The sequence below is a fragment of the Homo sapiens genome, chromosome 9 (assembly GCF_000001405.40).
Source record: "Homo sapiens chromosome 9, GRCh38.p14 Primary Assembly".
Lineage (NCBI taxonomy): Eukaryota > Metazoa > Chordata > Mammalia > Primates > Hominidae > Homo > Homo sapiens.
In genome coordinates, this window is record NC_000009.12 from 34,403,100 (window position 1) to 34,415,869 (window position 12,770).

At 45.8% G+C, this 12,770-nt stretch overlaps 1 protein-coding gene across 6 annotated transcripts in view; it reads right to left on the reverse strand.

The window, feature by feature from the left end:
* The window catches only part of FAM219A (family with sequence similarity 219 member A), a 60,387-nt gene that overhangs the window by 4,916 nt on the left and 42,701 nt on the right, over positions 1-12,770 (reverse strand). For 3 of the 6 annotated variants that reach the window (NM_001184945.2, NM_001184943.2, NM_147202.2), the window contains exon 2: positions 2,817-2,865. In NM_001184945.2, the coding sequence (NP_001171874.1) occupies positions 2,817-2,865 (49 nt within the window). Of the gene's footprint in view, positions 1-2,765; positions 2,866-12,770 lie in introns of all 6 variants that reach the window. The other 3 variants (NM_001184942.2, NM_001184941.2, NM_001184940.2) reach the window with 1 other exon arrangement.

Sequence of the window (12,770 nt, forward strand, 5' to 3'; positions counted from 1 at the left end):
GGAGAGACAATCACAGAAGGATGGCGCAGTCAGAGAGGGCTTCCTTTAGGTGACACCATGACCTGGAGAGAGGTGGACATTCTAGGAAGGAGGGATAGTGTGTGCAAAAATGCATTTAAAAGTGAGCATAAGTGTGGCTCTGGATAGAGGGGTGAAGAGAGAGGTCAGGTTAGAGAAGTAAAATTCATTTATTCAGCCACTTATTCAACAAATATCCATGTCACTAATTATAAGTCTGGTCCTGTGCTAAGGGGCCGAAGACCCTCTCTGGTTACAAACTCAGAACATGAAGGACTTGAATGCCAGACAGAGGAGTTTGGGATTAACGCAGAAGGAAGAAGAAGCCACTGAAGGTTATGGTGTGGGAGGTGCAGGATGGGGCTACAAAGTAAGGGGCAGAAGGCTGGGGGAGCCCATTTGGCTACGCTGCCTGAGTGGTGCTCCTGACTCCTTTGCCAAGGTCTGAGTTCTCCAAGGTTCCAAAGCCTACCAGCTTCATGGAGCTGGCCATCAGGTGACCCAGTCCACTGCCTGGTATGTGACAACTGTTACCAGAAGTAGCTTCCTGGGTCTTGGAGGAGTCCCATCTACTCTTCCCTACTCATCTCAAGTAAAGGCCAGATCTAGGAAAAGGAACTGTTAGGTGGAGAGGGACACTAGGGAAAATGACTCATAAAATAGCCAAATGCTCCAGAGGGTAAGGATGGGAAGGACCTTTACAGCTACTGTGACTCACTTGGAAATTTCCCCTGACCTCATGTCTCTGAATCTCTGTCTTCTACTCTTTGACCCTCTTTCTTTGCCAGTGCTCAGCTGATTCCAGCTTTTTCCCAGCTTCTTTCCAGCAGGTGGCAGCTGCCATTACCACTCCAGGCCTCTAGGGGGTGCAATTTGCCTTAAAGTTCCTGGTGGTACTAGGTGCAACTGGGACAATGCTGTGAATTTTCATGAGGAGCTTTGATGGTAATGTAATGGGGAGAAAAAAAGATGTTATTTTAAAAGCATGCTGAAATTGTTTGAAATAGTGGGAAAAAAGCAAACAATAAACTGGCAAAACCAAACTAAAGACTACTATACAACCATTTAAAAGAATGAAGTCACAATATGATGACATTGGAAGGAGCTCCAAGATTTAGGTGGTGGAAGAGGGAAGGCCAAGTTTCAGAAAATGTGCACAATATGATACCACTTATGTTAAAATACAAAGTAAAACTACAAAAACTGAAAAGGCTTGGAATGGTTACCTCTTAGGAGGAGAATGTGATGGGGGAGAGTAAAGAAGTTATGCTTGTTAAAATATTTGTATTGTGATATTAAACAATAATAGGCTGGGTATGGTGGCTCATGCCTGTAATCCCAGCACTCTGGGAGGCCGAGGTGGGCGGATCACTTGAGACCAGGAGTTCCAGACCAGCCTGGCCAACATGGCGAAAGCCTATCTTTACTAAAAATACAAAAATTAGCTGGGCGTGGTGATGCGCGCCTATAATCCCAGCTACTTGAGAGGCTGAGGCAGGAGAATCGCTTGAACCAGGGAAGCGGAGGTTGCAGTGAGCCAAGATCATGCCACTGCACTCCAGCCTGGACAACAGAGAGAGACTCTGTCTCAAAACAACAACAACAACAACAACAACAACAACCAACACCCCTGATAAATAAAATTGGCTGCAGTTTTAATCTGATGTCCTAGGAATAGAAACAAATTCCAAGGAGAGGACTATTCTTGTTTAGAAAAACAGCTCGAGGGGCTCCCTGGATGTGGTCTGGAAGGACAGAAGCAAGCAAGGTAAGAAAAAAAAATAGTAGTTGAATAATAAAATACAGGCCTCTGTGGAAAGGAAGGAGAAAGTTGTAGGCAAAGGGCCCTTAGGACTGAGGAGGCATCAGTAATTGTTGGGCAGCTGGAGCCTGAGGAGGAGGATGGACAGGAGGGTGGCCTTGATGGCAGAGGAACTTGGAAGGATAGTAATGACCTATATTTAATTGTAAATTCTTTCCTGTATGTCCTGTTTTGTAATTTCTCTTCAAGAAACCAAAGTTTTCATAAAAGTGTGTTATATACAGCAGCCATGAGACAGTGAAACTTTGGTCCCTGAAGGGAGAGGGACAGCCCATGAGGTGAAGGGAGGGCAATAGTGGTAGGAGCTGTGGACAGTGGCCAGAAGCGAGGGGACTTCACAGGATCAGGCTGCACAGTAAACTGACTTTGGAATGGACATGAGACAAAGCCACAAGGGAAATGTGACCCAGAAAGGAAGGGAGATATTTGGGTTTTCTAAGAAACGAAGGGAAAACTCCCCCAGATAGGTGCCAACTGGGCCCAGAGATCTCTAGATGGGCTGAGATTGTAATCGGGAGAGGGGCTCGGCTTCTAGGGTTGGAACTCTCTTTCCTTTCTATCCCTTAGACATAACAAGTAACATCCCACTTCTAAGGCAGCTTCCTCTCAGCCTGATCCAGTGTTTGATGGGACTTCCAAGTCCTCTCTCTGGGGTTCCATGCTTTTCCCCCTGCAGCTATGCCCCAGAATACCTGGAACGTTCTTGGCTTCAGAGATGCCTCTTAGAGTTTCAGGCTCCTGCAGAGAACTGTAACTGCCCTCTTTGCCTGCAGGAGACAAGGTGCCTCGCAGTGCCAATGACTTGAAGGCTTGAGTCTTGGAATCATCTAGGCTGAGCTGGTTTATTTGTGGCACCTCATTGTAGACCCAGCCCAGAGTATCTTGCCTACTCCCCACATCTCCCTCACCCCCCAGACACACTCACCCAGCTTCACTTGGAGCGGGGATGGTTTGTAATTCATGGCTACTGACTCACCCTCCCGGGCGTCACAGTCTCCGTCAGAGATGGAGGCGGCGGCTGGGTCCTGTGGGGAGAAAGCAGTAAGACAGAGAGTTGTTAGGGAGTGAAGACAGGGGGCTGCTCTCAGTCCTGAAGCTAGCCTTCCCACCTGCCCTCTGGGCTTCTGTGAGCATTCACCCCTCAGAGCAGGCAGGGCATTCAGGGAGAGAGGGGCAGACCCATCTACCGTGGGACAAAAACACTGGGCTAGGTAGAAGAACCAAGGATCTGGGTTCCATGTACACCCAACTTGGTGTCTGTCCTCAAAGTCCTGTGTGGTCCAGCCTCCTCCAGAAAGCCCATCATGATTTCTTTAAACTCACAGGACTTCCTTCTCCTAACTCCCATACTAGTAGCCCTTCCCCTCAGGCCCTTCCTGTGTACTTGCTTGGCAAGGTCTTCCTAGGTTCCTGTGAGTTTAAGTCTGGGTTAAGGGGAGAGCAGGTGCTGTCTGAGATGGGTCTTCTCCCTCTGTTTCCCTGTGCTGGACAGGTCCCTTCACAGGATCCAGAGAACTGACTGACCAAGCCACACCAGCCTTCAAGGCTACAGCCACTGGACAAAAAAATAGTTCTAATGAGGACTTCTCCAGTTCACAAATGACACCTAAAGAGTGTCTCCGGGGAGAACCTGAAAAGTTGGCTAGGTACAGTAGGTGAGAAGACAAATAATGACAAACCAGCAGGTGGCCAGTTAGTCTTTTGCTGCCCAGAGTGCAAAATACTTGATTCTACAGATGGTCAGGAAGATAGGAAAGCACACATTCTGTGTATTGTCCTGAGTCTGGAACTTTTGACATCCTCCTCACTGCCCTCTTCACTTCACTAATCTCTAATTGGGCTGGGAACTATGTTGTCCAGAGTCTTTTTTTTTTTTTTTTTGAGACGGAGTCTTGCTTTGTTGCCCAGGCTGGAGTGCAGTGGTGCAATCTTGGCTTACTGCAACCTCCGCCTCCCGGTTTCAAGCAATTCTCCTGCCTCAGCCTCTTGAGCAGCTGGGACTACAGGTACACGCCACCAGGCCCAGCTAATTTTTGTATTTTTAGTAGAGACGGGGTTTCACCATATTGGCCAGGCTGGTCTCGAACTCCTGACCTCATGATCCGCCTGCCTCAGCCTCCCAAAGTGCTAGGATTACAGGCATGAGCCACCATACCTTGCTAAGAGTCCTTATCTAGCCTTGCCATCCCCTCCCAAACACCCTCCTCTGCTGCAAGATCCAGGGCCGTGCAAGTGGCTGAAGTCATCCACATTCTCCCTGAGACTCTGAGGACCAAATATTGACAGGGGTGCTGCCATCCTAGCTATAGGATGGGGGTCTGGCTTCCCTTTAATAAGAGTAGATTCACCTTTATTTCATTTATATATCAGCCTGTTGCAACATTTTGGTTGGAGAAAAGGTTCTATTTTTTAAAAAAGGTTAAAATCTTTTGATTTTAAATGTTTAAAAATGTTTTATTATGGAAATTATAACAAGTAGAGAAAACAGTATAGTGAGATCATAGGTACCTATCAACAGCTTCAACAAATATCAACTTATCACCCATTCTTTTTAAAAATGAGGAAACCTGGGCCGAGAGGGGAAGTGTCTTACGCAAAGTCAGTGATGGAGTCAATAACCTTTCAAAGCATGCAGGGAGGGACATAGGGAAGAGAACATGATTTGGGCTTGGAGTTAAAGACAGGCCCTCTGGGAGGCTGCTCCATTCTTGCAGGCCCAAGCATCAGTCTGCATATTAACCTCTTCCCTTGTCTTTGCATTTTAACCAGGGCCTGTAGATTGCTAAGCCTAAGGTGCGAGGAGTGCAGAGGGGATCCAAGGCTGCTGCCTGTTCTGCCTTTGCGGATGCAGGGAGTAGACAGATGGGCATGTAGAATGCTGCCACAGTGTCAGGCCCAGGGATCTGAGTGGTTGCTGGTGACCTGGCAAGGGAAGGATATATAACCATTATGGTGGCTTCTGTTCCCTTTAAAATGAGGCAGTGGGCATGAAAACATGCTTGTCACTAACGGGAAAGGGAAAAGTCTAGCAGGTTTGAGAGGGAAATCCTGGCCTTGTCTGTGTTCCTTCAGGCCATCCAGAGCACAAGGCTCTGGGTGGGTTGTGTTGCCACAGTGGTTTGCAAGTTCCTGAGGGCAAAACCTGTGCCTCCCTCTCCTGCTTTGATCCCTAGCCCTTAGCCTTGACTGAGTAGAAGAAGGGCAGGAGGCTTTGCTCAGAGAGGCTGGGTGCCGCAGTGCCTGCATCTTGGGCAACTTCCCATGCTTCAAGTCCTTCATCCTCCCTGGCTCAGCAACCTCCTTGAGAGACTAATAGACAGCACCTGTCCTGCACAGCCTTGGAAAAGCAAACCTCTAGTGGCCCTGACATGCCTCTCTGCAGCCAAAACAGCCTCTCAGCAGCTGCTACCTGCAAGGGAGGTGGAGATGGGACAGCTGGGCTCTGGATTTCCTGTGAGCCCCAGAGACTGCTCACTGCAAAGCAGCCAGAGGGAAGGCTTTTTAAAGGGCAAATCCCATAAACATGCTGATAGGACCCTACCAGGGCAGCACTGGCACATTTCTAAGTCCCAAGTCACATTCCTTCACTTTTTTGGTAGCATTCGTCACATGTCACATATACCACATCCATTTGGAAAAGGCTTCCTCCCTTGGCTCATCTCTTGCCTCTTTGACTATCATTTCTCTGTCCTCCCACAACCCTTTGCCTCCTCTGTAGGGTCCTGCCCTTGGCCCTCCTCTCTCTCCTTGGGGAGCCCTGATGTCTCCTATAGTTCTGATTGGCATTTTTACACTGATGACTTCTAAATCTGTGGCGTTTCAATCCTGCTTCTCCTCCTTAACCTTCTAACCCATCTATCACATGAGAGTGTTAGGCCTCACCATCCTTTCCCTGGGGCTGATTTTTAAAAACACAATCCGTTAGACATTTGGAGCTAACTTTTTACTCCTCAGTGCAGATGAGTTCATCAAAGTTTCTTCTCTCAGTCTGGAGGTACTGGGTATAAATGGTAACATGGGAGGTAGATTTCACAGGAAGGACAGGGCTAGAAAGCTGTTGAGCAACTCTGGTCACAGGGACTCACATGTGGTCCTTGAGGCCTACTGGGCAGTTCCTGATGGTATTTGATCCTGGATGAAACTGCCAGCTCCTTTGGACCACAATTCAGGAGGGCCTGACCAGGGGGCAGAGCCCTAGGCTGAGGGGTCCCATGCAAAGCCCACCATTCAGCATCTCCTCCATCACTATCCATGACAGAAGGCCACCTTAGTGGCAAGCACAAAGATCTCTGGCACTGTGCCTGCAAACATAAGCCTTTACTATGAGCTTCCTCTATGTCTTCCCTTAGAAATGCAGCCAATGCACCACAACCATTGCATGGCAATGTAATCAGGGAGATTAAATGTAAAATATTCATGAATGTAAGTATCAGAAAAGACTCCAGGCAGAAGGAAGTGCCTGGCTCCAAGAAATCAGGGAGAATTTAAAGTGCCCCCCAAGGACATCTGAAGGCGTTAGCTAGATCCGGGAACTAGAGTGGAGATTAACAAGATTATTAATAAACACTCAGCAGAGACAGACATTGAAATGCATCTCTAACAGCAGCCCATGTTTCTGCAACCCTTCAAATAAATTCTCTGAAGACTACAGAGATGATTAATAGCCCAGCCTCACTGTTTCTGGGACAGGATATATAGGCTAATGGCTAGTGCAAAGCCAATATAGCTAGAGGAAGGCAAAAGCATCAGAAGAATCCTTAGAATTATAATAGTTTGGTCCACTGATTTTCATTAAACTGTGTTCCCTGAGTGACTGTGAAGGGGAAGCTATAGGATGTGGGTCTGGTTTCCCTTTAATAAGAGTAGATTCACCTTTATTTCATTTATATATCAGCCTGTTGCAACTTTTTGGTTGGAGAAAAGGTTCTATTTTTTAAAAAAGGTTGAAATCTTTTGATTTTAAATGTTTAAAAATGTTTTATTGTGGAAATTATAACAAGTAGAGAAAATAGTATAGTGAGATCATAGGTACCTATCAACAGCTTCAACAAATATCATCACCCATTCTTTTTAAAAATGAGGAAACCTGGGCCGAGAGGGGAAGTGTCTTACCCAAAGTCAGTGATGGAGTCAATAACCTTTCAAAGCATGCAGGGAGGGACATAGGGAAGAGAACATGATTTGGGCTTGGAGCTAAAGACAGGCCCTCTGGGAGGCTGCTCCATTCCTGCAGGCCCAAGCATCAGTCTGCATATTAACCTCTTCCCTTGTCCCCCTGCCCCAGGGCTGTACCAACTCATGAACTGTCTTTAGCTGGCTGGCCTCACTTGTTGGAGCTGTGGGTAGTGCAGTCAATACAATGGTAGGCTGGGACCCAAGAGATCCCAAATAAGCAGGATAAAATTGGGTGGTAAAAAAGGGAAACAAATGAAAAAAACCAAAGTGTGGAACCTTCAAGGCTCATGCCTGGAGTCTTAAGAAGGAGGATCTGGATAAGTAGATGGAAGAGTCTGCTTTCCTGAATGACCCGCAGACTTTTATGGGCTACTCTGGTAGGACTCTAGGTGGCAAAAAATAAAACTTGTAGAGGGTCTTGTAGTTCCTAATGTATGTCTTCAGATCCACGAGCTTATCTGATTCTCATAAGTACCCAGTAGACATGTGATTGCCTCCCCAACATTCAAATTATACTCCTCCTCCACTGGGCAACAGACATATGGCTTGGATGGGCTGACCTCACTCTCAGTGCCAAGGGGATGCTCTGACTAAAGGAAGACAATCTACACAATCCCATCCTCCTTGCCACACAGACTGAAAGAAAGATTGTAATGGTTAAAAGCACAGACTCTGGAGCCAGAGTGCCTAGGTTCAAATTCCAGCTCCTCCAGTTAGTAGCTGTACAATCTGGGTTTCAGCTTCCTCATCTATAAATGGGACTAACACTAATACCTAGTTCAAGGGTTCTTGTGAGGATGAAAGGAGTTAATATGTATTAAAGCAGTTAGAATAGTCCTTAGCATAGTATACCCTTAGCACTATATCCATGTTAACTGTAAAGATATCATTAGTATAGGTTCAGTGAGGCCTATACTATCATGGTCAGTGTGCCCTGGGAGTGGCTGGCCTGTAGCTGTAGCCCTGACACCACATAGGTTGGAGCCTGGCTTATATATGAAGGTATCTGTAGAAAAGGTGTGCCCTCCTTAGGGTGATGAAAGACCTGACCACAGGGCACCCTGTTTCCTCTCTTCCCTCACTCCAGCATGATACAATTCTTTCATTTATTTAATGATGATAGGGCTCACAAATACAAATAGAAAAGAGTCCCAGCTGGGCATGCTGGCATGCACCTGTAGTCCTAGCTACATGAGGCTGAGGCAGGAGGATCACTTAAACTCAGGAGTTCAAGTCCAGTCTGCGCAACATATTGACATATTGAGACCCTGTCTTTAAAAATAAAAAAAAAAGGGCTGGGCACGGTGGCTCACGCCTGTAATCCTAGCACTTTGGGAGGCCAAAGCGGGTGGATCACGAGGTCAGGAGATCGAGACCACAGTGAAACCCCATCTCTACTAAAAATACAAAAACTTAGCCAGGCACGGTGGTGGGCGCCTGTAGTCCTAGCTACTCGGGAGGCTGAGGCAGGAGAATGGCTAGAACCCGGGAGGCGGAGCTTGCAGTGAGCCAAGATTGCACCCCTGCACTCCAGCCTGGGCGACAGAGCGAGACTCCGTCTCAAAAAAAAAAAAAAAAAGAAAGAAAGAAAGAAAAGAAAACAGTCCCATCTTTAAGAAGTTCCCAATAATTATTAATAAAGGTAACCAAGAGCCATATAAAAGTAGAGAGAATGGGACAAAGGGAGGGTGGTCAAAGGAGACACTTGAAAAGATCTTAAAACATTAGGTCACCAATTAGTTTAAGAGTGAGGAGTAAGGACATTCAGGGAACATGTGAAAAGTCTCAGAAGCATAAAACTAGCATAGTACATTCAAGGAATAGTCGGCATTTTGCTATAGTTGAAGCTCAGAAGGTATGGAGAAAAGTTGCAGGAAATCAAGTTTGTGGAGTCAGGAGGGGGCTCAGATCATGCTGGAAGGTGGGCTTTGATTTTTTTCTTTACTCAGAAGATGACGGGGAGCCAATGAAGCCTTAAGCAGGGAGTAACATGGTCAGATTTGAGATGGAAAAGGACCCTCCGATAGCCATGTGCAAGACGCCTGGGAAGGGAGTGAGATTGGAGGTAAGGATAATTAGGAAACTACTGCAACAATGCCAGCAAGAGATAATAGGGGCCTGAACCAAGCAGCAGCAGAAGATAAAAGAACAGAAAGGAAGATGTCAAAAAACAGTAGAATTGGCAGGCTTCTGATATAAAATGTAAAACAAAGGGTCTGGACATTCCTAGTTTACTGTCTGGAGGTAATTGGGAAGAGTACTAATTATTAAGACAAGTTATTAAATGCAGAAGAAGGCACAACTGCATTGCTAAGGAAAAATCAGATGAGTTCATTTGGGAACAGGTTGAATTTTGAGGTGTCTTTTGGACACCCAGATGATACCACTAGTTGGTAGGATTTGAAGTGTGGGAGCTCAGAAAATGGGTGTGGGCTGGTGGTGATGTAAGTCACAGTGAAGAATAAAGTCTCTCAGAATGAGCGGAGTGAAAAAAAAAAAAACCAAGGGTGAAGTTCTGGGAAATATCCAACCTTAGATAATGAATGGAGGAAGGAGACTGGGTAGGAACAGAGAGGAATAAGAGTAGAACTAGGAACCATTCAAGTAGAGTTTCAAGGTGGAAGAAATCAACAGTGTCAAATAAGCAGGTGGGTCCATAAGATAAAGACAAAATTTAGAAATAAGAAAGTCATAGGTAGTCTCAGTGAACACAATTTTAGCTGAAGAGTAGAAACAGAGCCCAGATGACAAGGGATTTAGGAGAGAATAGGAGATGAAGAAGCAGACAGAGTGACCACAGGCCGTTCTTTAAAAGAGCAAGACTGAGAAGGGAAGGAATGAGAATGGGTGGCAGCCAGAGAGAGCTTTAGAGTTCTAGAATTCCTTTAGAGCTAGGGAATACCAGACCTGTCCTAGACTGAGGGGAAGGAAGCTGTGTAGAAAAGGAGATGTTTGAGGGGGCATGGTCTTTGAGGAATCATGAGCAGATGGAGCCAGAACTTTGGACCATGGGAGGGAGTCTCCTTAACAAAACAGAAGGGAGGTAAGGAAGGTGAGGTGAGGAGAGGAAAGGAGGAAGGGAGGTGGGGGAATCAGATAACATGGAGGCAGAAAGGGGGTGGAAAGTTAGGGGAGTTCCTTCCTAAAAAAAACTCATTAGTAAAAGGAAAAAGGTGAACACTAAGGGGTTGGGAAAAAGAGGAATATTTGGTAGTTGGCCAGAGTGGAAGGAGATCAGACTGGCTGGGCTCTCAGCTACAATCCTCATCTGTCACCCAGCCATGATCCAGTCCCGAGGATGAAAGGCGCTCTCCGTGGTGCTGAACAATCTTGCCATTGTCTTGTGGCCTGAACATGATAATCCAGGGCAGAGACATGATTCAATATCAGCCTTCCCAAGAAGAGGTGACCTCTGTTCTCACCTCCAAGTACTAATTCTTAGGAAGATGAAAATGGAAATGGATTTAGAGTGACGTATGAAGAAGCAAAGCGCTCATACCAATACTATCTAACCCTTCTTCACAGAACACAGAAGAATTTTCCTTTAGTTTTAAGGCTAATTGGGGGAGGCAGTTCTGAGTTGGAGAATGCTGGAAGGCTACTTCTGGAATAAAGTCGTGCCTGTACCTGTTTATTTTCCCTGGATAATAGCAGGAGGCAGGATAGACAGAAAAGCAGAAAGCAGAAATCAGGGCCAGGAAGGATAGTGCTGATAAGAAATGGGAAGTCAGGGAAGGTGTGTGGCTCAGGCCACTCTCTGACAAGTGGGCACAGTAAAATAGAGCATCAAAGACCAGCTCTGTTCCTTATCACAAATTTATCCATTGGTCAGCTGAGAAACTTGGGGCTGTGGTCTTCCTGTTCAGGGCTATTCCATTCCAAAACATCTCATGGCAGTGTGTAGAAATAAGCATGTTTAGGTATCAACTTTTAGAGGGAGACCCAGCAAGTATAACTTAACTTCACTAAGTCCTCATGGTTGGGTAGAAATCTTGCCTCTGGTCCAAGAATAGTTAGTAGCAATCTATGCATTAGTTAGATGGCTCTATTTCCCTGCAGAGGGCTGTCCATTCAGCCTAAAGCATTCCCATCTTCTCTGACTCCACACCTCAACATATGAGTTATCTGGCCAATGACAGCTCTTACTCTGCAGTATGACCTGAAGTCACACCTCAACACATTGGCCATTTCTGAATCCCACTGTTGGGTAGCTCCTGTTTTTGTTCCCCATCTCCCTTTCTCCAAGTTTTCTCCAGGCACTGCCTGCAGAGCCAGGCAATTGGCCAGGACTTATGTCCTTTTGGGACATATTAAGATCCTTAGGGGATAGGTGCAGCAAACCACCATGGCACATGTATACCTATGTAACAAACCTGCACGTTCTGCACATGTATCCCAGAACTTAAAATAAAATAAAATAAAATAAAACAAAATAAAAAGGTCCTTAGGGATCCCACTTACAGGGAAAGACAAAGACTTCTTATAGGGATAAGGTCTTTGTGGGAGATCTGGAAGAGAATCAGGGAAACATAACGGAGAGGATCTCTCCAAGTGTTATTGGGTCTTACAAATGGGGGAGAACAGAAAGTCTGAAGAGAAAGTTTGTGAAGCCTACATTTAGGAGAGAAGGCAGAGAATCCTGGCTGGCCCAGGGAGTCTTCTCTTATCAGTCTAAATCTCCCAAATCTTCTAAGTTTTTCTCTAAAAGAAGACCCATTTCAAATAAAGTCAACACACTGAGTGTCCACTCTCCAGCTCTGGACTATGAGCTGGCAGTAGAATGCAGAAGAGGAAAGCATCTTTTCTCTTTCTTTTCTTTGTTTCCTTCTTTGTCATTTTTTCTTTTAGTTTTTTAGAGACAGGGTCTCACTCTGTCATCCAAGCTGGAGTGCAGTGGTGCTGTCACAGCTCACTGTAACCTTGACCTCCTGGGCTCAAGTGACCTCCTGCCTTAGCCCCCTGAGTAACTAGGTCTATAAGCACACATAGCCACTATGCCTGGCTAAATTTTTTTTTTTTTTTAGAGAGGGGGTCTCACTATGATGCCCCAGTTGGGAAAACACTCTTTCTTTCCACACACCACACTTCTGCAGAGCATTTGCATTTTGGGGTATGGTCAAGTTCACCAAAAAGAAATGGGAAGGATTATCACACTCGGGCTAGAGTTTGGGAGCTCCAACTGGTCTTGGGAGTAGCTGAGGATTTTCTGACTGCTTAAACAGCTGCTAGTATAGAATTCATTACTAAAAGTAAGCACCGCCAAGCCTTAGTATCTTTAATGGTATCTGTCACTGGGACAACCAAAATGGTGGAGGGTGCTACTGCCCCCAGGCCTAGTAACAACTGTAGCTATGAAAAGTTTTATAGATTTTTCTACTATAAAGTAATACATGCTAAAATTTTAACAAATCACCTTTAGTTTCACCACCTTGAGAAAAACACTTGATAATGTTCTACGGTATGTGAGTCTTTTGCGTATACTACAGCAGCAAAACTCTGGGGCTTCCCTTCCTTCTTTGGGAGTTGGTGCTGTTCCCATCTTCATGGTCATAGGAGTGAGCCTCTAGGAACTATGCTGGTTCTATGTGATTCCACCCAATTGGATAAATGCCTGGATGAGGCAGAGCAAATTAGTCTCCCCCAGAATCGGGAAGTGGGACTTAAATGGAGATGTAAAGTTCAAGACTGTGGATTAGGTAACAGAGAGAGCCATTGGGGAGGGAAACAAGAATACAGCTGATGTTCAGAAAGAAGT